The sequence below is a fragment of the Homo sapiens genome, chromosome 22 (assembly GCF_000001405.40).
Source record: "Homo sapiens chromosome 22, GRCh38.p14 Primary Assembly".
NCBI classification, from domain to species: Eukaryota; Metazoa; Chordata; class Mammalia; order Primates; family Hominidae; genus Homo; species Homo sapiens.
In genome coordinates, this window is record NC_000022.11 from 21621166 (window position 1) to 21645106 (window position 23941).

The following is a 23941-nucleotide window of genomic DNA, read 5'->3' on the forward strand; positions in this document are numbered from 1 at the left end:
CCTCCTCCCCAACCCCCCGCCAAGAAAAAAGGGCTGGGAGTGACTGAGGGCTAAGACCTCCCCAGGTGTTAGGTCAGGAAGGCTTCCTGGAGGCGGAAGCACATCACTGTGAACAATTATCCACTGTAGTGTTAGCTATTTGTTGTCCATCAGTGTCTTCTAATCACAGAGGAAAGATGAGTTTTCTGGCAGTCAGAATTTTGGATAAATAGGAGGCAGCTTTGGCTTAAAAGCACATTAGCTGTAAATCAGTTGTAAAGCCAGAGTTTTGTTCCCGGATTAGCTGCCTCTTGCCTGTGCCATTTCTGAGACTGTGTTAACCCCCCATGCCTTGTCCTTCTCTTGGCAGTAATCCAGTCCCTCATAGCACTGGTGAATGACCCCCAGCCTGAGCACCCGCTTCGGGCTGACCTAGCTGAAGAATACTCTAAGGACCGTAAAAAATTCTGTAAGAATGCTGAAGAGTTTACAAAGAAATATGGGGAAAAGCGACCTGTGGACTAAAATCTGCCACGATTGGTTCCAGCAAGTGTGAGCAGAGACCCCGTGCAGTGCATTCAGACACCCCGCAAAGCAGGACTCTGTGGAAATTGACACGTGCCACCGCCTGGCGTTCGCTTGTGGCAGTTACTAACTTTCTACAGTTTTCTTAATCAAAAGTGGTCTAGGTAACCTGTAAAGAAAGGATTAAAAATTTAAGATGTTCTAGTTCTGCTCTCTTTGTTTTAAAAATCACTGCTTCAATCTACTTCAAAAGAATGGTGTTTCTTTTCTTGTCCAATTTTATCCAAAATCTTCAAGTTACATTTAACCCATAAGGTTTAAAAAAAAGGAAAAAAAACGGTTGTGGTTCCCTTTCTTCCCTACCCTTGCCACTCCCACTTTCTGGCACCGAGTTTATTTTTCACTTACTTACTTCCCCAGACCCCGGGCTCGCCTCCACAAAGGAGAAGAGACTGCCCTGGCGGTCCTGGTGGCTTTTCTTAGCATGTGTGGCACTGTTGCCCAGTGTGGGAGTTGGTTTAAATTCTCCTGACTCCAGTTTATAACATCCTTTTAAAAAATTTAAAAACAAACAGCCACACCCCTCCTCCAGTCCTTCTCCTCAGTTCTTGTGTGAAACTCCAGCTGATGTTACCACAGTAACATCAGTTAATTGGGCAAGCCCTGATGTCAGTGTGTGTAACTGACCTCTGGCCTGGCCTGCACAGAGAAGCCCTATAATCACAGGTCTGTGGTGGCCCCGAAATGGGGGGCCTGCTAGTCAGGAGGATGCTGTGCACACTGTGTGTGATGAATCTCGCCAGAAAGGCTCCTGAGGTCCCAGGTTGGCACTTCTCCCTGCAGCCATTGTAGAAGATCTGCTGGTCCTTGCAGGCAAAGCTACAGCCAGAATGTCCGTTTGAAACTCCTAGCTCATCTGTCACCGAGCTTCATCCGAATGTGCCACGGAGCTTGCTCTCCACTTCCTCCGTGCAGTGGCCCTGCCACAGCCCTCCCTCGGCACACTTTGACCCTTTGTAGGATTGGAATTAGCAGGACTCGGCTATTTAAAGCACCAGTCTGGGGTCGCCTGGGCCCCTGCTGACCCCCTCCTCCAGAGCAGCCAGCCCAGCCCGGGAACAAGACGGACTTCCTCTCCCTTCGGACTCACAGCCTTTGCAGAGTCAAGCTCCACTTGAAGCTCACTCAGTAATATCCTTTCAATGTGTTTTATATTGTTTTGACTGCCTTTTTTTGTAGAAATAAAAATTGACCTTAGAATTTATCGTCAGATAAACTTGTAAAGATTTGAATATTAATGTCTTTTCAAGGCAAATGGGATTGTCCCCGCACTAGTAGAGAATCCATGTCGCTCTGACACCCCAAGGAAGCCGACGATCCAAATGCCGTGTGTCACCAACCCCGCTTCTGCCACTGGCGGCTTCCCTTCTTGGCTCTTGGGGGGGACTAGATCCTGTGGAGAAGATGACTTAAACTTTGCTTTTTGTTTTAATTTTAATTCTATAACTTGAGATCTTTCCGGGGCCTACAGGCGTGTAAGACAGCTTGGTCTGGTCTGTGCAGAAGTGGGGAGTGATGGGCAGGTTCGGCAGCCTAACATTGTTCAGGCGCATGGCCCCTGCGGTGTGTACACGAACTCGGCTTCTTTTGTCCTAGGTACGCCAAGGGCAGGTTTCTGGAGACTCCCTTGTGCCCGGGATGGCAAGGGCACCGGGCTGGCGTTTCCACATCTGTCTTCATTAGCAGAAAAGTGATGATGGATTTTATTTCACTCACACTCCAGTTTGTAATAAAATGCCAAATTCTGTCAGCTATCCAAACAAGCCACCATTTGTTCTTGTTGCTTCTCTGGATCCAGAAATGTTGCCATTCTTGGAAACTGTCCCATTGCTTCGTATTTCTGCCAACGTAGCTCTGCCTGCCTGTCAACCCCTCACTGCACTCTGCTCATCACGGGAGGATACCTGTGTGCCGGCAGCCCCTCAGGGACTCTCAGCCCTGGCACTGGCACCCCAGGGTTGGCCCCGTCAGCAGAGGCTTGGCTTTCGAGCCAGTGGGTGTCTCTCCTTTGGGCCTGGGCGGCTTGCTCCTGCCAGCCATGCCTTCAGGGTAGGCTCTGAGCAAGCTGGCGAACAGCCCTGGCTGCTCCAAAACCAAAAAGCTGGGTCCTCTGGAGGAGGGGCGAGCTGTGGAGCAGCCACCCACTGCTGCCCCAAGCTCACTCAGGAATTCACACCCGCCTGGTTTCTTGAAGTGTGCTGGGTCCTTCCCTCTGCTCCCTACTCCCCACCACGGCAGAGAATAGGCTTTCTAAGATGCTGCGATCCCGTTCTGCTGCCCGTAATAAAAATGCTCTCAGACACTGGTTAGTCGTGTGGGTTTCTTCCTTCCTGGGAGCGGGCAGTGCCAGGGGCCTATGCTCTTGGAGATGGGAGGGCTGGCTGGGGCCCAGGTCCTGGGGCTTCTGATCTCTCTCCCCATTCCCAGCCTCTCCAAAAGAGGTACATAGAAGTGTTCCTGCCTCCCTAGAGGGAAGGAGATGAGGTATAATCAGCAAGAAAGCCGGAGACTTCAGACAGTCGGGGCCTGCAGAGGGCGCTCTTGGGCGTCTCGTTGAGGGGACAGGGACTAAAGTGTGGGTGCATCACTTACATGCGTGGGTCATCCTGGAGCCTCCTGGGAGTGTTAACAATCCATGTTTAGAAGAGGCAAACCTGCGGTCCCAAGAGGTCACAGAATTGATAAGGGTGTGCCTGTGGGTGGAGCTGGGCCATGTCCATGAATGGTGCCAGCCAGAAACACTCTGAGTCCCCAGTACAGCCCACTGCCAGGGTGCTGCGGCAGTGGTGCTAACTCAGCAAGGGCTCAGCCAGACCCAGGACTTTTTTGGCTAGGCCTTCCCTGCCTGGAATTTGACACCAGCTGAGACTAGGCCTGCACTGTTCAGCTGGATCTGCAGGTCTTGGGGAAGGAAACTTCTTGGGGTGTCATTTTACTAGCCTTTAACATACCTAGCACTTTACCCTCTGAGTCTCAGGAGAGCCCTGTGGCATCCTTATCCCTGCTTTTAAAGACAACCAAGACCCCTGGCCTGTTTTTGTTCACATTCTGACTGCAGAGCCTGTTGCATTCCACCATTTGGCATATTTCTTCCCACAGGGTCCCTCTGAGCCCAGAAACAGCCAGTTACCACCCTCCCCAGAGCCAGAGACCTTTAAGCCCCTCTGTCAACTTCCTCTTCCCTACAGCCACCAGCCACCATTTTTGGCCTTGTTCACTATTAATTGTTCAGCATGAAATAAGCATCCATTTCATCACTCCTGTACCCGCTGCAGCCTGACTTCTGTCACCTGCTGCCCCTTGCTGCTTCTCCTTTCATTTGGTGCCATCTAACCCAGCCCTGAAAGAAGCCAGAGCTGCTCTCAGCATTTCCCACCCTGTCCTGCCTGGCTCTTCCTTCTCTCTCTGCTTCCTGGATATGGCATGGGGGAACCGGGCACCAACCCAGAACAGAGGGGAGCTGAGGGTACCATTGCTCCCAGTGCAGTGCAGTGCCTAGCCTGGTCCATGCCTGGTAAGTGGCCATTTCCCAGATTATTGGAACGTGTTCTTGTTCATAGAGGGCCCCTAGGGAACCCTGGAGGCCTCAGAGGATCAGAGTAGAAAGGACCACCGTGCAGAGGCGATAACTGAGGCCTTGGGAAGGAAGTCACTTCCAGAGAGCATTCCCCACCCGGTGCTGGCCAGGTTCAGAAACCCCCCTGTGGCTCCACATGTTGCCGTGGGTTTCTCCTACATCTTCCTCTGTGTGTCACTGGATGACACTGGATGACTGTCCCTGTATGTACCAGACTGGGAGCTCCTTGCAGACCAGGCCATGTCAGCTCCAGCCCTGGCCTAGCACAGAGTGGACCCTCCAGACACGAATGCCGAGTGGGCGGATAACAGTGAACCGCTTGGCTAAGACACTGTTGCTGCCCCCACAGCCCCTGTGGCCCACCAGTCACCACCCCAACAGGTCCTTATCACTTTCACCTCCTCGTGAGATGGGCCTCATTATAATCAGGTGGGCCTGATTATCCTACCAGTCTATGCCCCCTCACTTCAGTTTTTTTTTTTTTTTTTTTTTTTGAGTCAGGCTCACTCTGTCACCCAGGCTAGAGTGCAGTGGCATGATCACTGCTCCCTGCAGCCTCTACCTCCCAGGCTGAGTCGATCCTCCTATCTCTGCCTCCTGAGTAGATGGAACTACAGGCTTGTGTCACTACACCCGGCTAATTTTTGTATTTTTTATAGAGACAGGGTTTTGGCATGTTACACAGTCTGGTCTCAATCTGCTAGCCTCAAGCCTTCCTCCCGACTCAGCCTCCCAAAGTGCTGGAATTACAGGCGTGAGCCACTATGCCCAGCCATTATTTTTTCTTTTTTAAATAACAGAAATAAGGTCTTAGTATGTTGTCTAGGCTGGTCTGGAACTCCAGAGCTCAAGTGATCCTCCCACTTCAGCCTCCCAAAGTGCTGGGATGATAGGTGTGAGCCACTGTGCCTGGCTTCACTTCACTCAAATGCTCATGGTCAGCCGGCTGCTGTGGCTGATGCCTGTTAATTCCAACACTTTAGGAAAGGCCAAGGTGACCAGATCTCTTGAGCCCAGCAGTTTGAGACCAGCATGGGCAACATGCCAAAACCCCATCTCTACAAAAAATACAAAAATGAACCAGGCATGCCTGTGCTCCCAGCTCCTCAGGAGGCCATGGTGGGATGATCACCTGAGCCTGGGGAGGTGGAGAACTGCAGAGACGTGATTGTGCCACTGTACTCCAGCCTGGGTGACAGGATGAAATCCTGTCTTTAAAAAGAAAAAAAAAGTCTCACGGTCCCCAGGGCTGCTGTCGACTCTGCTCATCCCTCCTTCCCTCCCTGAGTGACAGTAGCCACTCATATAGCATCTGTGCAGACCCCCAGGTCTCTCCTGCCCACCCACACCTCTCCTGAGCCTAAAGCTGCACAACCAGCTGCCTCCTCCTCTCAGAACACTTCCATAACAGAAGCCCCTCAAGGGAGCTACGTCTGTATCCCCGGCTAACTTCAGGCCACCCCTCTCCCAGCCTTAGCCAGCAGCCTGCAGGAGTGTGGCCAGATCTCAGCAGGCTGAGGCGAGGAGGTGGAGGCTAGGCAGCAGGAGGAGCAACTGTACAGTGATTCCAGCTCACAAGCATGGGTGCAAGAAAGCAGGAAAAGTGCTGCAGATGGGAGAGTCCAAGTCTAGTGAAGGTCAAGATGGAAGACGAGTGTGGAGCCAGAAAAAGGGACTGAAGCCACAGTCAAGGGGATGGGGCCATGAGTGGGTAGAAGCAGGAAGGAGGAGCGACATCCCACACTCACCCTTCAGAAAGCCACACGTCTCTCCAAGCTGCCTAGGCTGGATGAGAGCTCTCTTGGCCCCTGATTCCATGTTTGGCCCAGGCTAGGGCCCAGTGCACATTAAATAAATGAATGAGTAGTTTCAAAGCCCTGCTCTGCCACTCCTGCCTCTACCCCTGTAAAATGGGGACATCGGTGCCTGCCTCATAGATGCTATTTCATGAAATGAGACAAGGACCACATGGTATTCCATCTGCCTTTCCATCCTGCGGAGTGGTGCAGAAGGACTCTGTGCTCTAGAGGACTCGCACTGCCTTCCCCATCTGCTCCTGCACCTCAGGAGCTTTCAGCTAAGCCACATGCGGCCCCAGTCCACAGGGCATCCCTACATTGCCAGAAGTTAGGAACCATGGTATCCCATTTCCCGGGAAGACTGCTCCTCCTAGAAAAATTTAAATGTATTCCCACAGGGTTGCAGGGTCTCCTCACGCCTATCCCGTAGAATGGCTTACATCTAAACAGATGACTTTTGTTTTTGAGATGGAATTTCGCTCGTTACCCAGGCTGGAGTGCAGGGGCGCGACCTCGGCTCACCACAACCTCCGCCTCCCGGGTTCAAGCGATTCTCCTGCCTCAGCCTCTCCAGTAGCTGGGATTACAGACATGCACCACCAATGCCCAGCTAATTTTGTATTTTTAGTAGAGATGGGGTTTCTCCATGTTGGTCAGACTGGTCTCGCACTCCTGACCTCAGGTGATCTGCCCGCCTCGGCCTCCCAAAGTGCTGGGATTACAGGTGTGAGCCACCACACTCAGCCTACAGGTGACTTCTTAAATCAATACTGAGATTATAGTATTATGCCTCTTCCAAAGCAGCCTGGTGAGGACAATCTCCCACTCCCACCCTAAAAAGGAATAAAGAAAATTGCAGCATGAACAAAACCAGAATGGAGAATGGGCCATTTCCTGGAGTGGTTTGAGCCAAGAGGGAGCTGCTCTTTGTCCGTGCTTGTTTCTCTGAGGGTCTCCTGGGCACAGCTGATAAACCACCCAAGTTTGAAAGACACACGTTATTTTATTAATATAGCCATCTCTCCCCACTGCCCCAGTGGTGAAGGTGTTTGCATTGCAACATGGAGGGGCACCAAATGCTCTGCGGGCCCTAGCCCGCTGCCACAGGCTAGGCCTGCCTGCAGCCAAGAAGGCTGCTCAAACTCTAGATGCCATTTGGAGGCATGAGGACCTGAGCCCAGAGGTGGCAGTGTCCTACCCAGGGAAGTCAACAGATCGTGCTCCAGGTCCCAGCTCTGGGCTGGGCCAGGACTAAATCCTGGCTCCCCTTTCTTGGTACTAAGGGGATTAGTGCTTGGTTGTCTGTAGGGGGTCAGAGTAGGGAGGGTTCCAGGAAGGGTTCCAGAGTGGGCTCACAGGGGACCTCCTCCCCTGGCCTCTTGGAGTCCAGGTCGTCGAGGGCGCAAAGCTGCACGCCATCCTGGGCAAGCTGGGCCCGCAGCGTGGGCGCGGTGAGGACGCGCAGCTCATGCAGCCGCTCCCAAGAGCAAGAGAAAGCGTCGGGGCCTTCACCGCAGCCGCCGGTGGGAGGCACACTGGGGTAGCCGGGGTGCGCCATCAGCTCGGCTGTCAGGGTGTGGCCCGCTAGGGTACCTTCCAGGACCCGCGCCAGGGCCCCGGACACGCGGTGAGCGGACATGTGCCGGCCGCAAGTGCTCAGGCCCACGAAGGCGTCTGTCCACCTGTGGGGGGCGGGACATCAGAGGTGGGACCAGGCCGGGCCATGGCCAAGGGCTAGGTAGGCTAGGGAAGGGACGGCGGGGTGGGAGGGGGTAACTGGGGTGGCGGCAGCGGTCGACGCCAGACTCGCTTCCGGGTTGAGAAACGGACACAGCTAGCCAGGTGAACAGCCAGTGCGGAGGGACAGAGGCAGCTATGGTAGGAGACGGGGCGGGGAGCCTCACCGCAGGCCGTGGCGGGAGAAGGGGCCCACGGCGGCCCGGGCGTCGCGCTCCACGGCGCAGGCGAAGGCACGCGCGGGGGCCTCCAGCCAAGTGCAGCCACCCACACCGCGCTCCAGCGGCAGTCGCGTAAAGCGCACCCCATAGGCCTGCAGCGCCTCGGCGAACACCTGGCACACGCCTGCGGGCGGAGCGGGTCAGGGAGGAGCACGTCCTTTCACCTGGGGGCATCGAACTTCCCCTACTCCCCCAGCCCCGCCTGGGAGTAACGCCCTCCAAACTGGGATCACTAACCACGCACCTGGGAGCACGTGCACGTGCTGGTGCCCGTCCGCGTGCGTGGGGGCCCTGCCCAGCAGCTCCCGGAAGCAGCTTAGTTGGGCCTCGAGCTCCTCCCGCACCTAGAGGGCGAGCGAGAGACACCTTGAGCGACCGGGAGTAGCTGCCGAGGATACCCTCCTCGTGCTTCCGTGTGATGGCTCCAGTGTTTGAATGCGGAAGTCATCCACCGCCAGCTCCTAACGGCCTCACAGTACCCTCCGGGCGGAGCTCTGGGGGTCCTCGCGAGCATCCTCCTGTAGCTGCGGCTCCGCACCTGAGGCAAATCCACGTCTCCGGCCGCCACCGCCTCCCGGAATCCCATCTTGCCAAGGAAGAAGCCTTCCGGGCCGAGCAGCGATGAGGCGCCACGGCGGGCCGGACCCACGGGGCGGCCCTCGGACAGGTTGGCGTGGAGGCCCGTGGGGATGCTGTGCCTGAGGGCGGAGCGCGAGCTGGAGCACTAGCGGCCGCGGAGCCGCGCGCCCCAAGCCGATCGCCGCCCTGCTAGAGGCCCTCCCCTCACCTGCGGGCCAGCTCCGCCGCGCTCTCCGTGGCCGCACCGTTGACCAGCAGGGACACGCTGGTCACAGCCCCGGCCAGAAAGGCCTCCACGATACCCTCATCGCGTCGCGGGCAGTAACCAAAGTCGTCCGCGGTGACCACCAGGCGCATGCGAGGGCGGGACATGGCCGCCTGGGTCCACCGCTCGCGCTCCCAGGGGAGTGGGCCGGACAGCCCAGGCCCCGCCCCCGGACGCTGCCCGGGCCCCGCCCCGACGCACACGCCCAGGTGCGGCTGCACTTCGCCTTTGTTCTCGCCACCTAGCGGTCCGGCGTGCCCCTGCAAGGACCCGGCAACTGCTCCCGCGCTAACCAGACCAGTGATGGATTCATTGCAATGCGGAACTTTCCTTGACTGCAAAAGTGATATTTAATATGTAAAATATCAAAAGGAAGCCGGGCGCAGTGGCTCACGCCTGTAATCCCAACACTTTGGGAGGCCGAGGCGGGTGGATCACGAGGTCAGGAGTTCAAGGCCAGCCTGGCCAACATGGGGAAACCCCGTCTCTATTAAAAATACAAAAATTAGCCGGGAGTGGTGGCACGCGCCTGTAATCCCAGCTACTCGGGAGGCTGAGGCAGGAGCGTGGCTTGAACCCGGGAGGCGGAGGTTGTGGTGAGCCGAGATCGCACCACTGCACTCTAGCCTGGGCGATAGAGCGAGACTCCGTCTCAAAAAAAAAAAAAAAAAAAAAAAAGAATCTCCTACCCTTCCCAGAGATTGCCATTGTAAACTTTCTGGGTTGTGTCCTTCCAGTGTTTTCTCTAAGCAAATAAACACACCCAACTCCCTTTCTCCCCAACCCAACTTTTTTGTGTGTTGTTTTGAGAACATAAAGATGATTATATCAATGTTATCACATTCTAGTAGTTTCTTAGCAGTGCGAATGAAAATTTTCATATTATTAGCTATTTTTATTCTTTTTCAAATTGCCTATTGATCTTTTGCAGATTTTTCTAAGAGCAGGCATTTTCTTGATTTGTTGATTTTTTTTTTTTCTTGAGCTCTAGACACTAAGAAAATGAAAGAAAGCATATACACTAAGGCTTCATTTGAGAAAACATTATCTCCAGTTTCCATCTTGAGCTCTCTGCCAGGCTACAGCTTTTACATTCATAACTTCACTGTTTTCTCTTTGGTCCAGAAAAGCTTTCCTTACCCATGACTGTATAAATAGTCATTATGGTTGGCAGCCACAGTTTCCATTGCAATGTGACAGTCTTGATTTTTCCCATGGAAAGTGTGGTATTTGTGTCCGGGCTATGAAATTGGTAATGTCATTCCTGTTTCACAGATGAGGAAACTGGGGTTCAGAGAGCGAAAGTGTGGTCCTGCCAGGAGTAGTGGAGCTAAGACTGAACCTCACACCTCGGGGCCAGCACCCAGGCCTGCTATGTCCTCTCTGTCCCTGACCTAGTGGGTAGCCAGAGCTGAGAGGACAGAGCAGAGCTTGAGAGGAACAATATTTCGTGAGGCATGTGAGGATTGAAAGCCTCATAGAGTCCTTCAGCCATGCTCTTGGCATAAGGACTGATGTGTTTATAGTGACTGGTGAATTGTCAGACCTCAACCAACCACCGTTCTCCACTGGAAGCTGATCTTGGAAAGGTCAGAGGTCCCGAGGGTCTGCAGGTGGGAAGGAGGAGACTGACATTTATTGAGCACCTACTTGGTGCCAGACACTGAAAGTATTAGAGATTAAGGGTGACTTGCCTCTGTTCTGGCCCCAAAGAAGCACCATCTGATAGAAAAATAAGTAGCAACATGGTATGGTAGAGTCTGGAATGGGGTTTACTGTGAATTGCGTAGGGCGTGGCAGAATTCACAGTAAAAGGTTTTTGGAAGAAGTGACACCATGGTGGGGTATTACTGAGCAAAGGGGAAAAGGAGGGAGGGAGAGGAGGTAAGAATATACAAGGCTCCGCTGGGCGCGGTGGCTCAGGTCTGTAATCCCAGCACTTTGGGAGGCCAAGGCAGGCGGATCACAAGATCAGGGAATCGAGACCATCCTAGCTAACACGGTGAAACCCCATCTCTACTAAAACTACAAAAAAATTAGCCGGGCGTGGTGGCGGGCCCCTGTAATCCCAGCTGCTCGGGAGGCTGAGGCAGGAGAATGGCGTGAACACGGGAGGCGGAGCTTGCAGTCAGCCGAGATTGCGCCACTGCACTCCAGCCTGGGCGACTGAGCGAGACTCCCGTCTCCAAATAAATAAATTAATTAATTAAAGAATACACAAGGCTCCACTGGGTTACTGGGTGTGCTGTAGGGAGATTTTATTGAATCCCATACTCCCATATTGGAAGAACACTCAAGCCCATTTACAGTGTGGGACTAATGCTGAGAGGTTGAGTCACATTGGCAGGAAAGAGCAGAGCCAGGAACTGAAGCTAGGTCTGTGACTTAGAGCCGGCACTCTTTCCACTGCAGAGGGGAGAGGTCTCAAGGCAGAACCTGGGGCTGTGCACACCGCGGGAAGGGCAGAGGCCCCTGGAAACGAACAGGAGCAGGAGGCCCAGGGCTGCGCAGCAACCAAGGAGGACACGAGGAAGGTGCTTGTGCCACCGGTGGAAGACGTGGCTTTGGCTTTTAGGCTCCCCTCGGGGCAGGAGCAGATCAAAGAGCCTAGCCCCAGCTTCGGTGGTGGGTGGGGGGTCCTCCCGGCAGCGGGGAGCGTGGGCACCAGCATCCTCAGCCTGCGGCTCCCAGGCGAGTGTGGGAGGGCAGAGCCCAGAGAATTGGAGGTGGGGCCAATGTGGGCCCCGCCCCCAACCATTGTGTCGGAGAGGGAAGTGGACGAGCTCCTCGGTAAGAACCAATGAGGATGTGGTATGCAAATAAGCAAGTGGAGGCCGCCAGCCGACTTCCTCGCACTGTGCAGCTGCTCCAGTGAGGGCGCAGACTGTACTGGCCTGTGCGGAGCAAGGCGGTGTTTCTGGTGAGTCTGTTGATTCTGGGCTGGGGTGAAAGCCAGGTTGCCCAGGGTTTGGGAGGAGGGCGGGTCGAGCACACGCAGATCCAAAGATGATCGGAGACAGGATTGTCCTCAGCGATTCCACCCCGATGACTCTGGAAACTGCCTGCCTGCAGACGCATGGGGGCCATGGAGCAGAGGAAGGGCTGGATGCATGAAGGAGGCGGGGTGCGGGGAGCGAGGGACCCGCAGACTCCAGGGCCACAGATGCGTGGACCTATTGGAGACCCTCAGGTTGTCTCCCCACCCCACGCAGAGAGGAATGCGCAGCTGAAGAGAGAGGTGGGCAGCAGGCCCGGTCACCTGCCAGGTGACCACATGGCCAGGTGCCGCCACCACTCGGGTTACCTGGCCGATGACGAGGCCAGCCACTCCATGTGCAGTGCACGGGTAAGTGTGCCCAGCAGGGCGCCGACCCTTGAGGCCACAACATGTTCCCCACCAACCCTGGCACCCAAGACCACAACCCCCATTTCTCATTGTCTATTGACTTCTCTGGGCCTCTTAGTGAAGTCCTTATTGCCTTGACTTCTCCTATGTCCCCCACTGCTTGCCCCTGTCACACTCAATTTCATTCCTTGTTTCCTCCTGACTTCCAGCGACCCAGAAGGTGCTTGGGTGGACTGGGACCCTAGAGTGGGAGCATGGAGTTGACTAGGTGCCTATGGCTCAAGTTGGAGAAACAGGCCCGGGTAGCACAGGGCTCAAGACCTCAGGTGTTGTCTGCACTCAAGACCTCAGATGTTGTTTGCAGCCCTGCCATGGATACAGGGATGGCCTGCTGCATGGACAGATGAGGAGCTGGAGGGAGACTCCGAGAGATTCATGATTGCTCATCCTGCCACGTGTCAGGGCAGAAGCAGGCTTGCAGACTCCTTAGCCAGGACTTGTGTGTGTGAAATGTAGGTGTTAGGAAAGCTTCGGGGTGACCCTGAATAGACCTCCACTTTGCAGATGAGGACATTGGACCTCAAGAGGGGCCATCTTGCACACTGGCATCAGGCTGTAGGTGGCAGAGCCAGGGTCCAAACCCAGGGCTTCCAGACTCCAAAATGCAGCTCCTTCCACTACTCACTCCCACCCAGGTCCTAGTGTTACCCCAGGGAACCCTTCACCTGTAGGGCACCCCTGCCCCCTGTGACATACCTGTCTGCTCAGGTGCAGCTGCCCAAGAAGCCACTGGTCCCAGAAATGCGGCCAGCCTGCAAGCCGGGCCGTGTGCCACACCCACCATCCACATGTGGCAGCTCAGCACTCCAGGGCCAACGCCGAAACAAGAGGCACCCTCAGCCCTTTGGCCACTTTCTGGATTTCCTAACTGAGAGCCAGGTCCTGGACAGCCTGGAGACAGTGGTGGAGAAGGCGACTGAGCGCATGGCTGCCATGAAGACGGAGGCTGGGGTGCCGCTTGTGGAGGTGCAGGACCCAGTGGAGGTGCCAAGTGGTGGACGGCGGGCACATGCCCGGCCCAGCCTCAGCACCGTACACCGGCACCGTGTACGGCCGACCCTCTGCACTGGACACCCCAACAACTACCCATCCAGCTCCAGCTCCATGTCCAACTGCCATAGCAGCCTCATGGCCGGCTGTCTGGGCTCCCACAGCCGGGACAGTGACCTAGGTGCCCAAGGCTCATTGCCACCTGTGAGGGACAAACTCCTGCTGGAGAAGAACCTCAAGCGGCTGCTACAGCTGGAGAGGGAAGGGGTGAGAGCCAGGGCCATGGCTGGGTGGGGTGGACTCCCATGGAGAGCCCAGGGCTAGGGTCAGCCCTGGCTTGGCTGCTCCTGAACACTTCACAGAGTCACCCTCTTTCTGCAGAAAGGCCTCAGTCAGTCCTGCTCCCAGAGGGACTCCCTGCTGTGGGATTCGCTGGGTAGCCAGACCAGCTTTCAGTGGACACAGGAGCAGCCCTTGTCCTGGTTCTCAGGGCTGCTGGGCTCAAGCTCTGGCGTGCCTGAAGCATCAGAGCCGAGGCCTGGAGAACAGGAGCCAATCTTCCGCAAGCGAGAGTTCAATAAGGAGATCAAGTCATTACTGAGCCAGCTGGAGTCCCTCGACCTGCCTGGCTACTGTCCGCTCCGTGAGCCCCATCGCACGCTGAACTTCCTGGCTGACCACCGCCTCTTCCCTGCCCTGCAAAGCGTGGTCAGCCAGGCTGTGGATAAGCTCCGTGGCGCCCACTGCCGCGACGGCCGTCCTCTGTTCCCCACCAGCTTGGAGCCCACCTCAGATCTGCCGCCTCTGGGCTCTGAGCCAGCTAAACCCACCAATGGCGGGCAGCCCTATGCTTCCCCCCGCCCCACAGTCTCCAGCCCCAAGATGCTTCAGAGAAAACGCAAGGACAGAGGAGGCTCCCCCTCCATGTCTAGTGCCCAGGTGGCCACCAGATTCAAACTCAAGGTGACACCCACGGAGAAGCCCAATGTCCCCAGCCCCTCACTCCACTCCAGGGAGGAGGCACCTGACTCAGATCCCAAATTACAAAACCCACCTGTTTCCCTGAGCTCCAGCCAGAGGGCCCAGCCCTGGCAGGGCCTGCACCTCACCCTGCCCACGCCAGGGATTGTGGTGGAGGTGGCCTGCAGCCAGGGCCACCTCAGGGGCCCTGTCACACCTCCACTTTCCTCCCCCTACCCCCGCTCTTCCTGCTACCTTCTCCCTGAGCTCTCTCCAGTTGCCTCTTCATCTCCCGCCTCACTGTGTCCAGAGGTGACCTCCTCAAAAGTAGGACCGGGCATGAGTTTGCAGGAGAAGGGCTCCTTGACCCACCACTCCTAGCAGCCACTGTCACTAACAGGTGCTCAAGGTCAAGGTCTCTTGCCCTGCACTGTGGAAACCTCCTGGGCAGGGGTCAAGCTGATGGGGGCCCATGAATCCTGGCCTAGCTATTACCAGGTGTTGTCACAGATAAATAAAGGCTATTTTTTATGCTGGGTATTTTTTCTAACGTTTGTATGTGAATCTAGAGACGCTCCTACATGGGGGTGGAAAGTCCCGTCCCTTGTGGACAGCAGCCCAAGCCCAGCCGGGGCCTTGCCTCCTAGGTCTAGCTCCCTTGAATCCAGCTGCCTCGAGCAGGACTCTCCAGTCCCTGGACTTTGCTGAGGGGAAGTTGCCCAGGGAGGATGTGTACAAGACGTAGGTGGCCTCACACTGGTGGGTCTCCAGCACGGTCCCTCGACCCTTTCCTCAGCCATCAAGGCCCCTGCAGCTGTCTCTGGGCACAGGCCTGGGCAGGAGCCTGCCCAAACCCAGTTGTCAAGGCTCAGATTAGCCTTACCCTGTGACAGGTCCCTGCCCTTGCCCCAGGCCCAACAGTTGTAGGAGGTGTGATGGCGAGGTGAGCATGAGAGTGGGCAGTTGAGTGCAACAGCATAGCAGGTGTGGTAAGGCTGTACCCTTCGTGTGGCAAATGTGTTTGTCACACTAAGGGTACCCATTCATGTTTGTGATGGGCAGGGCTGGCAGGGCTCTGAGGAGGGCACAGTGGCTGGAAGGGGTGTCACAGAGGGATGGGGCTGGCAGGTGTGACATGTGTCCCTTTCCCTCCCCGGCTGCTATGCAGAGCCCCTGCAGCAGCAGCAGGTTCACGAAGAAGAAGCCGCTGCCCTCCATCTCGTCGAAGTCCAGCATGTCTCACTTCTCCAACCGCCTTTATGAGGAGCTCGCCGACTTCCTGACCCAGCAGGCAGCCTCCTTGGTCATCCGCAAGTACGAGTTCGAAAAGGACCTCAGTAAGCAGCTGGGCTTCTTCTCCTTCCCCATCACCCACGTGCTCAGGGACCTTTCCCTGGGCTTAAAGAAGGTAAAAGGCTCCCGCATCCACCTGTCCTCGGAGACCCACCGGAGCTGCCTGCTGCGTAAACTGGAGGAGTCCAAAAGGGCCCGGCAGGCCTCCCGGCTCAGCACCTCCCACTGCAGCACAGAGACACCCTCTGTGCAGCAGGAACCAGCCACCCACACTGCCCAGGACCAGGCCACAGAGCCCTGCCGCTCCCTCTACACCAACTTGCCAGCCAGCCGGCAGCTCAGCCCTTTGGAGCCCAAGCTCTACATGTCTGCCTGCACCGGCATGGGTTCCAGTCCCCCCAAGTCCAAGGACATGGACAATGAGGGCCGTGATAAAGCCGAGATTGAAGATGAAGATGAGGATGAGTTCAAGGATGAAGACCAGGATGAGGACAAGGATGAGGATGGAGTCTAGAGCCTCCCAGAGCCTGGAGAGGAGGCCTCGGTCAGCCACTCCGTGGACGTGGGCCACGGTGACCCACCATGAAGTCCCCACTAGCCACTCGATTCCCTGCTCTGTCAGAGTTGCTGCACATCACACCAGCCCCTGCCAAGAGCAGGAGTCACCACAGGCTGAATGCCCACGAGGAGCTCTGCTGAGACTCTCAAGGGAGCCAGTGAAAGAAATAGAAATAAAGCCTGTGTTGCTGGGACACAGGTTTGCTGTCCTGAGATTTCAGCCGCCATTTTATTTATTTACTTATTTGTTTATTTATATTTAAGATGAAGTCTTGGCCGGGCTCATGCCTGTAATCCCAACACTTTGAAAGGCTGATGTGGGCAGATCACTTGAGGCCAGGAGTTGGAGACCAGCCTAGCCAACATGGTGAAACCCTGTCTCTACTAAATACAAAAATTAGCCAGGTGTGGTGGCAGGTGCCTGTAATCCCAGCTACTTGGGAGGTTGAGGCAGGAGAATGGCTTTAACCTGGGGAAGCAGAGGTTGCAGTGAGCCGAGATTGCATCACTGCACTCCAGCCTGGGTGACAGAGTGAGACTGTGTCTAAAAAAAAAAAAGAAAAAAAAAAGTCTTGCTCTATCTCCCAGGCTGAAGTGCAGTGACATGATCTCAGCTCACTGCAACCTCCACTTCCTGGCTTCAGACAATTCTGCCTCCTCAGCCTCCTGAGTTGCTGGGACTACAGGCACCCACCACCATGCCCAGTTAATTTTTTTATTTTTAGTAGAGACGGGGTTTCACCGTGTTGGCCAGGGTGGTCTCGAATTCCTGACCTCAAGTAATCCGCCAACCTCTGCATCCCAAAGTGCAGGGATTACAGGCATGAACCACCACACCTGGCCACTAATTTTTTTTGTATTTTTAGTAGAGATGGCGTTTCACTATGTTGGACAGGCTGGTCTCGAACTCCTGACCTCAGTTGATTTGCCCGCTTCAGCCTCCCAAAGTGCTGGGATTACACGCATGAACTACCACACCTGGCTTTTATTTTTATTTTTATTTTTTGAGATGGATTCTTGCTCTGTTGCCCAGGCTGGAGTGCCTTGGTGCGATCCCGGCTCACCACAACCTCTACCTCCCGGGTTCAAGGGATTCTCCTGCCTCAGCCTCTTGAGTAGCTGGGACTACAGGCGTGCGCCACCATGTCGGGCTAAATTTTTTTTGTTGTTTTTTTGGAGACGGAGTCTTGCTCTGTCGCCCAGGGTGGAGTGCAGTGGCGTGATCTCTGCTCACTGCAAGCTCCGCCTCCTGGGTTCATGCCATTCTCCTGCCTCAGCCTCCTGAGTAGCTGGGACTACAGGCACCCACCACCATGCCCGGCTAATTTTTTTGTATTTTTAGTAGAGACGGGGTTTCACCGTGTTAGCCAGGGTGGTCTCGATCTCCTGACCTCGTGATCCATCTGCCTCGGCCTCCCAAAGTGCTGGGATTACAGGCGTGAGCCACTGCGCCCTGCCAATTTTGTATTTTTGATAGAGACAGGGTTTCACTGTATTGGCCAGGCTGGTCTCGAACTCCTGGGCTCAAGCGATCCGCCCACCTCGGCCTGCCAAAGCACTGGGATTAACGGCATGAGCAACTGTGCCCCGCCCAACACTGGAGTTTGACCGGCTCAGTGGAGTAGTGGTGTACATTGGAGTTGCTCATGTGACTGCTTTCAGCTGCTCATTGAACTGAGGCTGGAGCATTCCAGGGTCCCTCTCTATGTGGCCTCTTACCACGTAGTAATCTGGCACTTCATTACAGTAAGGTGCATTCTCTAGCTTCCTAGAAGGATAAAGCCAGACCTGCCAGCGTTCTTATGGCCGGTGCTCAGAAGTCCCCAAACAGCACTTCTTCGGCATTCGATTGGTCAAAACAAGTTGCGTAGCGGGGCTCGGTGGCTCCAGCCTGTAATCCCAGCACTTTGGGAGGCCGAGGCGGGCGGATCACGAGGTCAGGAGATCGAGACCACGGTGAAACCCCGTCTCTACTAAAAATACAAAAAATTAGCCGGGCTCGGTGGCGGGCGCCTGTAGGCCCAGCTACTCGGGAGGCTGAGGCAGGAGAATGGCGTGAACCCGGGAGGCGGAGCTTGCAGTGAGCCGAGATCGCGCCACTGTACTCCAGCCTGGGCGACAGAGCGAGACTCCGTCTCAAAAAAACAAAACAAAACAAAACAAAACAAAACAAGTTGCGCTACCTACTCAGATTCAAGGAAAGGCGAAATGGACTCCATGTCTTTTCTTTGGCTTATGGGGATGGGAGGAATTGTTAGTGGTCATATTTGGAGACTAGCTACCACCCTTCCTCCTCTCCACAGCTGATTGTACCTTGAGCAGCCCTTGTTGAGCCAATCAGATTCTCTCTTGAGAACCTGAACCTTAAGACAAATTATAGTTGGTAGGTGGAGGGCACTGGAGATGCCATAATCAGCCCTGAGGAGCTGCCCATAGGGTGAGCAGGGGAAGGTGGTCTGCAGCAGGAGGCCGGAGAAGGGAACAGCAAAGAGAGGCGACCAGGCTGCCCCTGAGAGTCAAGGGAGTGCTACGTTGGCTTCCCCAACTCTGGGTCTGGTATCTCAGCCTACTTAGAATCCTATCTTGCTTGTCAGGAAGATTGCCTGCTGTGTCCTCAGCCTCCTACGGTCCTAAATGCAATTGGGAAATGGCTGGCAGGTTCTAGCAGGGAACTGGCATGATCTTTTGATCTATGCTTTTACCACTTTTCTTTTGAGACGAAGTCTTACTTTATTGCCCAGGATGGAGGACAGTGGCGCGATCTTGGCTCACTGCAACCTCTGCCTCCTGGGTTCAAGTGATTCTCCCACCTCCGCCCTCCGAGCAGCTGGGATTACAGGCACATGAGACCATGCCTGGCTAATTTTTGCATTTTTAGTAGAGACGGGGTTTCACCATGTCTGGTCTGGAATTCCTGACCTCAGGTGATCCTCCTGCCTTCGCCTCCCAAAGTGCTGGGATTACAGGTGTGGGCCACCGGGCCCGGCCTATACCTGTAATCTTAACACTTTGGAAGGCCAAGGCGGGTGGATCACCTGAGGTCAGGAGTTCAAGACCAGCCAGGCCAACATGGTGAAACCCCGTCTCAACTAAAAGTACACAAATTAGCCAGGCCAACATGGTGAAAACCCGTCTCTACTAAAAATACAAAAATTAGCTGGGTGTGGTGATACATGCCTGTAATCCCAGCTACTCAGGGGGCTGAGGCAGGAGAATTGCCTGAACCCGGGAGGCAGAGGTTGCAGCAGTGAGCCGAGATCGTGCCACTGCACTCCAGCCTGAGTGACAGAGTAAGACTCCGTCTCAAAAAAAAAAAAAAAAAAAAAAAAAAAAAGACTTCTTGAATGATGCACATGGGAGACTCAAAAGTTTGAAAAAAAAAAAAAAAAAGGCTGGGTGCCGTGGTGGCTCATGCCTGTAATCCCAGCACTTTGGGAGGCTGAGGCAGGTGGATCACCTGAGGTCAGAAGTTTGAGACCAGCCTGGTCAACATGGTGAAACCCTGTCTCTACTAAATATATTTAAAAAAGTAGCCGGGCGTGATGATGCATGCCTGTAATCCCAGATACTCAGGAGGCTGAGGCAGGAGAATCACTTGAACCCAGGAGGTGGAGGTTGCAGTGAGCCGAGATCGCGCCATTACACTCCAGCCTGGGTAACAAGAGCGAAACTCCGTATTAAAGAAAAAAAAATTGTTGAATGAGATGTGAGGAGCAAGGTAAAGAGACGAATGAAAGAAGAATCCCAAGTTTTGGGCCTGAGCATCTGCAGAATGGAGGTGCCATTTACTGAGACTCATAAGCCTGGGGGAGGGGTAGTTTGAGGGCGGAGACCAGGAATTCTGCTTTGGATGTGCTGATTTTGAGATGATGGCTGACATGTCCAAGAGTATATATCCATCGCCTCTCAGATAGTACTTCAGCTCTTCCACCCTAGACTGGAGACCCCTCAAGTGCAGGGACTACCAAATCCAGGGCAGACTGACTTTTAACCGTTTGGACACCTAAATGCTGAAAAGATCAAGGTGTCTTATACTACATGTAACTCAAAATCAAAACAGTATTAAACACGAAACCCCCAAAATAACATGTTGCTGTAATGAAAATGGCTTTACTCTGGATTTTCTGAACGCAAAATTCTGGATGATTTAATTAAATATGAACTTTTCTCTCTGCTTTGCCTGTGCTTCAACTACACCCTAGTCAGACTCTTGAGCCCAGAGCTATTTGCTCTGTGACCCCACAGGATCTGGAGTGAAGCTGCTGTAACAATGTCCCATGAATGAATAAATAAACAGAGGTGTAAGTTTTCCTCCCTTGAAGGTTGAGCTGACAACACTCTGAGAAGGCGGCAAGAAGGAGACCTACTCATGGCCAGGAGACCTGGGACACGGTCGCCCAGGCATGGTTCCCACAGCCCCTTGGTCTCCTTTGACTCTGGTTTCCTAAGACAGCTTTGGGACTTTCTGGTGAGAAGCTGCCATTATTCTCAACGCTACAGCTCCCTGCTGCCCTCTCCTGCCCGATGACCCAGTGACCACGAGATTTAGCCACGAAAGGAGTCAAATGTATAAGTGGCCAGGGGAATTCAGAAACCCCAGGGTCTAGGGACTGTGGTGACCCAGTATCAGAGAGGGCCTAGGGCCGAATGACTGGAGGTTTCATTAATCCCGGGGTCCAGGGACTTAAGGACTGATCCCGATTCAGTGACCCCGGGATCTGTCGACTTTGTGACCACAAAATCTAGCGATCCAACAACCTCAAGACCCTGCAGCTGCGGGCCCAGGTTCTGAGGGGAGAGACTCATTACTGAGTGCCCAGGAGTCCAGGATCAAGGGGCGTCGTGAAAACGTGCCTGCAGGGTCCTAGGATCCTGAGCCGGTGTCCAGGGACTCACCGGCTGCGAGGAGCCGCGTCTTCACCAACTGTTCACGCTCACTCTCCGCGGCTCGGAGACTCAGCCGCCCTTCCCTGGGCACTCATTGGTAAGTCCTCGGAAGCGTGGACCAATCAAAACCCTCCTCGTGTCTCCAGTCCCCGCCCAGCTACGGCTCTCGCGAACCGGGGGCGGGCCCTCCCCGCGCTGACCCAGTGGCAGTGCAAGCGGAGTGCCGCGCGGGCCGACTATTGGCTGCCGCAAGCGGGCGCTGTCAGAACCGGATTGGGCCGCGGCGGGGACGGAAGCGGCCCCTGGGCCCGAGGGGCTGGAGCCGGGCCGGGGCGATGTGGAGCGCGGGCCGCGGCGGGGCTGCCTGGCCGGTGCTGTTGGGGCTGCTGCTGGCGCTGTTAGTGCCGGGCGGTGGTGCCGCCAAGACCGGTGCGGAGCTCGTGACCTGCGGGTCGGTGCTGAAGCTGCTCAATACGCACCACCGCGTGCGGCTGCACTCGCACGACATCAAATACGGATCCGGTGCGTGGGGCCAGCGACTGGGAGAGCGCGGGGAACCGGGGCTCGGGGTTGGGAGTGTGGAGACAGGGTGGTCATGGGGGTCTGTGGGCCGTCTGGAAGCCGGGCGGCGGGGGCTCTAGAGTCGTTGGGAGGTCGAGGGGCCAAAGCTTTGAGGGTGTCGAGGATATTGAGGGTGGGGACGGTCGTCGGGGAACTGCGGGCCCAAAGACTGAGGGGGTGTCAGGCGGGGGCTGGGGGTGAGCCCTTGGGGTCCCCTGGGACATGTTCTGGTCCCAGGGCGAGGGTCCGGGGTTCCGCGATTGACGGAGACCCTGGGTGTGTGGGGTGTCACTCCTCAGGCAGCGGCCAGCAATCGGTGACCGGCGTAGAGGCGTCGGACGACGCCAATAGCTACTGGCGGATCCGCGGCGGCTCGGAGGGCGGGTGCCCGCGCGGGTCCCCGGTGCGCTGCGGGCAGGCGGTGAGGCTCACGCATGTGCTTACGGGCAAGAACCTGCACACGCACCACTTCCCGTCGCCGCTGTCCAACAACCAGGTGAGCCCCTCCCGGAGCCCCCAGAGAGACTCCTGGCCTGTGTGAGGGGCCAGAGACAGAGCCCTGGGTTCCAATCCGAGCCTCAGCTTCTTCGTGAAATGGAAATTTCACTTCAGAGATGGTTACTGAGCGCCCCCTCGGGGGACACAGAGTAACTCCGCCAGGATCCTGCCCTCAGGTGCTCCCGGCCCGGCAGGGAGAACGACGGGAGAGAGATCCGGAGAGATACGCCTGGATAGCTCTTCCTCTGGTGGCAAGTGGGACCCAGGAGGGGAATCCACACAGCCTTGAGGGTGGGGAATAGGAAACTCCACTGGGGAGGAGGAACTCAGGCTAGATCTGAAAGGATGATTAGGAGTCCTACAAGCCACAAAGGGGAAAGAGAGACTTCCCAGGCCAGCAGAAGAGATTGTGCCAATGCATGGAGGTCATTGGAATTCAGGGGATTGGAATGGAACAGTGGGTGCCCTTGGGGAGCTGGTGGAAGAAAATGTTTGAGATAGATAGACAGCTTGACTGTTAGCCTGAGGGGCTGAATTTTAGGCTGAAGGTAGGTCAGAGGGGTTAGGACTGGGAAAATGTGGAGGAGGAGGCCTTAGCTCCGTGGGGACCAGTGGTCTCTGCACAGACAGATGCAATGGTGTGTGCATGTGTCTGAAGAGCCCATGCTGGGGAGGGAGTGCTAGAGGTTGCGGGGGCGGGTCATGGTGTCACCTTTTGCAGCTGTGGGAGCTGAGGCTCCAGGAAGGGTAGGGAAGAACCCGAGGCTCGGTGTACTAGGTGCGAATGCCGCCTTCTGTGGTGACCACTGTCTTCTCATCCTTTGCACCTATAGGAGGTGAGTGCCTTTGGGGAAGACGGCGAGGGCGACGACCTGGACCTATGGACAGTGCGCTGCTCTGGACAGCACTGGGAGCGTGAGGCTGCTGTGCGCTTCCAGCATGTGGGCACCTCTGTGTTCCTGTCAGTCACGGGTGAGCAGTATGGAAGCCCCATCCGTGGGCAGCATGAGGTCCACGGCATGCCCAGTGCCAACACGCACAATACGTGGAAGGCCATGGAAGGCATCTTCATCAAGCCTAGTGTGGAGCCCTCTGCAGGTCACGATGAACTCTGAGTGTGTGGATGGATGGGTGGATGGAGGGTGGCAGGTGGGGCGTCTGCAGGGCCACTCTTGGCAGAGACTTTGGGTTTGTAGGGGTCCTCAAGTGCCTTTGTGATTAAAGAATGTTGGTCTATGATTGCGTTTCACTGTGAGCCTGAGGATGACCAGGAGGTGCCAGCCCAGGCCCAGTTGATCATTTCTTCCTCAGTGCAAAACCTGTCTCCAGCCCAGCCTGACTGCTGAATCTGTCCAAACCCTTTATTATTTTTTTTTCGGGGGGCGGGGGGGAGGTTTGCTTTTTTTTTTTTTTTTGAGACGAACTCTCGCTCTTGTCCCCCAGGCTGGAGTGCAATGGCGTAATCTCAGCTCACTGCCATCTCCGTCTCCCGGGTTCAAGTGATTCTCCTGCCTCAGCCTCCCGAGGAGCTGGGATTATAGGCACCTGCTACCACACCCGGTTAATTTTTATATATATATTTTAAGTAGAGATGGGGTTTCACCATGTTGGCCAGGCTGGTCTCGAACCCCTGACCTCAGGTGATCTGCCTACCTCAGCCTCCCAAAGTGCTGGGATTAAAGGTGTGAGCCACCATGCCCGGCCTGGGTTTTGCTTTTTTTTTTTTTTTTTTTTTTTGAGGCGGAGTCTTGCTCTGTCACCCAGGCTGGAGTGCAATGGCACTATCTCGGCTCACTGCAAGCTCCGCCTCCTGGGTTCACGCCATTCTCCTGCCTCAGCCTCCCAAGTAGCTGGGACTACAGGCACCCGCCACTGTGCCCGGCTAATTTGTTTTGTATTTTTAGTAGAGACGGGGTTTCACTGTGTTAGCCAGGATGGTTTCAATCTCCTGACCTCGTGATCTGCCCGCCTCGGCCTCCCAAAGTGCTGGGATTACAGGCGTGAGCCACCGCGCCAGGCCGGTTTTGCTTTTTTAGAGATGGTCTC

The 23941-nt window shown here is 55.4% G+C and overlaps 4 protein-coding genes across 18 annotated transcripts in view, besides 7 other annotated features; 3 read left to right on the plus strand and 1 right to left on the minus strand.

Moving 5' to 3' along the window:
* Positions 1–2869, plus strand: part of UBE2L3 (ubiquitin conjugating enzyme E2 L3) — a 74588-nt gene extending 71719 nt beyond the window's left edge. For all 5 annotated transcript variants that reach the window (NR_046082.2, NR_028436.3, NM_001256355.1 and 2 more), the window contains one exon: positions 350–2869. Coding sequence is in view for 3 of the 5 variants with exons in the window: in NM_001256355.1 (NP_001243284.1) it covers positions 350–504 (155 nt within the window). In the remaining 2 variants the exon portion in view is untranslated. The remainder of the gene's footprint in view (positions 1–349) is intronic.
* Positions 2047–2580: an enhancer, noted in NCBI's record as "H3K4me1 hESC enhancer chr22:21977501-21978034 (GRCh37/hg19 assembly coordinates)". NCBI's record gives its function as "activates a minimal SCP1, AML or CMV promoter by ChIP-STARR-seq in naive H9 embryonic stem cells {active_cell/tissue: H9 hESC(naive)}" and the evidence as "EXISTENCE:reporter gene assay evidence [ECO:0000049][PMID:30033119]".
* Positions 4219–4487: a silencer, noted in NCBI's record as "fragment chr22:21979673-21979941 (GRCh37/hg19 assembly coordinates)". NCBI's record gives its function as "represses an EF-1alpha promoter that drives an FKBP-Casp9 reporter gene in an ReSE screen in HepG2 liver carcinoma cells and K562 erythroleukemia cells {active_cell/tissue: HepG2 | K562}" and the evidence as "EXISTENCE:reporter gene assay evidence [ECO:0000049][PMID:32094911]".
* Positions 6691–7298: an enhancer, noted in NCBI's record as "H3K27ac-H3K4me1 hESC enhancer chr22:21982145-21982752 (GRCh37/hg19 assembly coordinates)". NCBI's record gives its function as "activates a minimal SCP1, AML or CMV promoter by ChIP-STARR-seq in naive H9 embryonic stem cells {active_cell/tissue: H9 hESC(naive)}" and the evidence as "EXISTENCE:reporter gene assay evidence [ECO:0000049][PMID:30033119]".
* On the minus strand, positions 6924–8857 carry YDJC (YdjC chitooligosaccharide deacetylase homolog). 6 transcript variants are annotated; one of them, NR_163922.1, is made up of 5 exons: positions 8686–8857; positions 8378–8596; positions 8143–8242; positions 7845–8022; positions 6924–7622 (listed from the first exon to the last, which is right to left on the minus strand). NR_163922.1 is itself a non-coding variant. In NM_001017964.2 (5 exons), the coding sequence occupies exons 1-5, from the start codon at positions 8847–8849 to the stop codon at positions 7253–7255; spliced, it is 972 nt and encodes a 323-aa protein (NP_001017964.1). In that variant the 5' UTR covers positions 8850–8857; the 3' UTR covers positions 6924–7252. The 6 variants fall into 6 exon arrangements, 2 of the variants coding, with proteins under 2 accessions (NP_001017964.1, NP_001358279.1); NM_001017964.2 differs by having other exon boundaries at positions 8437–8596; NR_163923.1 differs by lacking the exon at positions 7845–8022.
* Positions 7804–7893: a silencer, noted in NCBI's record as "silent region_13510". NCBI's record gives its function as "represses an Ori minimal core promoter by ATAC-STARR-seq in GM12878 lymphoblastoid cells {active_cell/tissue: GM12878}" and the evidence as "EXISTENCE:reporter gene assay evidence [ECO:0000049][PMID:35858748]".
* Positions 8804–9083: a silencer, noted in NCBI's record as "silent region_13511". NCBI's record gives its function as "represses an Ori minimal core promoter by ATAC-STARR-seq in GM12878 lymphoblastoid cells {active_cell/tissue: GM12878}" and the evidence as "EXISTENCE:reporter gene assay evidence [ECO:0000049][PMID:35858748]".
* Positions 11327–11826: an enhancer, noted in NCBI's record as "H3K4me1 hESC enhancer chr22:21986781-21987280 (GRCh37/hg19 assembly coordinates)". NCBI's record gives its function as "activates a minimal SCP1, AML or CMV promoter by ChIP-STARR-seq in naive H9 embryonic stem cells {active_cell/tissue: H9 hESC(naive)}" and the evidence as "EXISTENCE:reporter gene assay evidence [ECO:0000049][PMID:30033119]".
* On the plus strand, positions 11595–16164 carry CCDC116 (coiled-coil domain containing 116). Of its 6 annotated transcripts, none has more exons than XM_047441169.1 (5): positions 11595–11662; positions 11815–12088; positions 12857–13405; positions 13520–14498; positions 15267–16164. In XM_047441169.1, the coding sequence occupies exons 2-4, from the start codon at positions 11819–11821 to the stop codon at positions 14477–14479; spliced, it is 1779 nt and encodes a 592-aa protein (XP_047297125.1). In that variant the 5' UTR covers positions 11595–11662; positions 11815–11818; the 3' UTR covers positions 14480–14498; positions 15267–16164. The 6 variants fall into 6 exon arrangements, with proteins under 6 accessions (XP_047297125.1, XP_006724222.1, NP_689825.2 ...); XM_006724159.3 differs by having other exon boundaries at positions 13520–14101; NM_152612.3 differs by having other exon boundaries at positions 11955–12088; positions 13520–14101.
* Positions 20946–21375: a silencer, noted in NCBI's record as "silent region_13512". NCBI's record gives its function as "represses an Ori minimal core promoter by ATAC-STARR-seq in GM12878 lymphoblastoid cells {active_cell/tissue: GM12878}" and the evidence as "EXISTENCE:reporter gene assay evidence [ECO:0000049][PMID:35858748]".
* SDF2L1 (stromal cell derived factor 2 like 1) lies at positions 21137–23134 on the plus strand. The gene is made up of 3 exons (NM_022044.3): positions 21137–21358; positions 21697–21893; positions 22729–23134. Exons 1-3 carry the CDS (start codon positions 21172–21174, stop codon positions 23008–23010), a joined length of 666 nt encoding a protein of 221 aa, NP_071327.2. The 5' UTR covers positions 21137–21171; the 3' UTR covers positions 23011–23134.
* Positions 23135–23941: the final 807 nt, after the last annotated feature.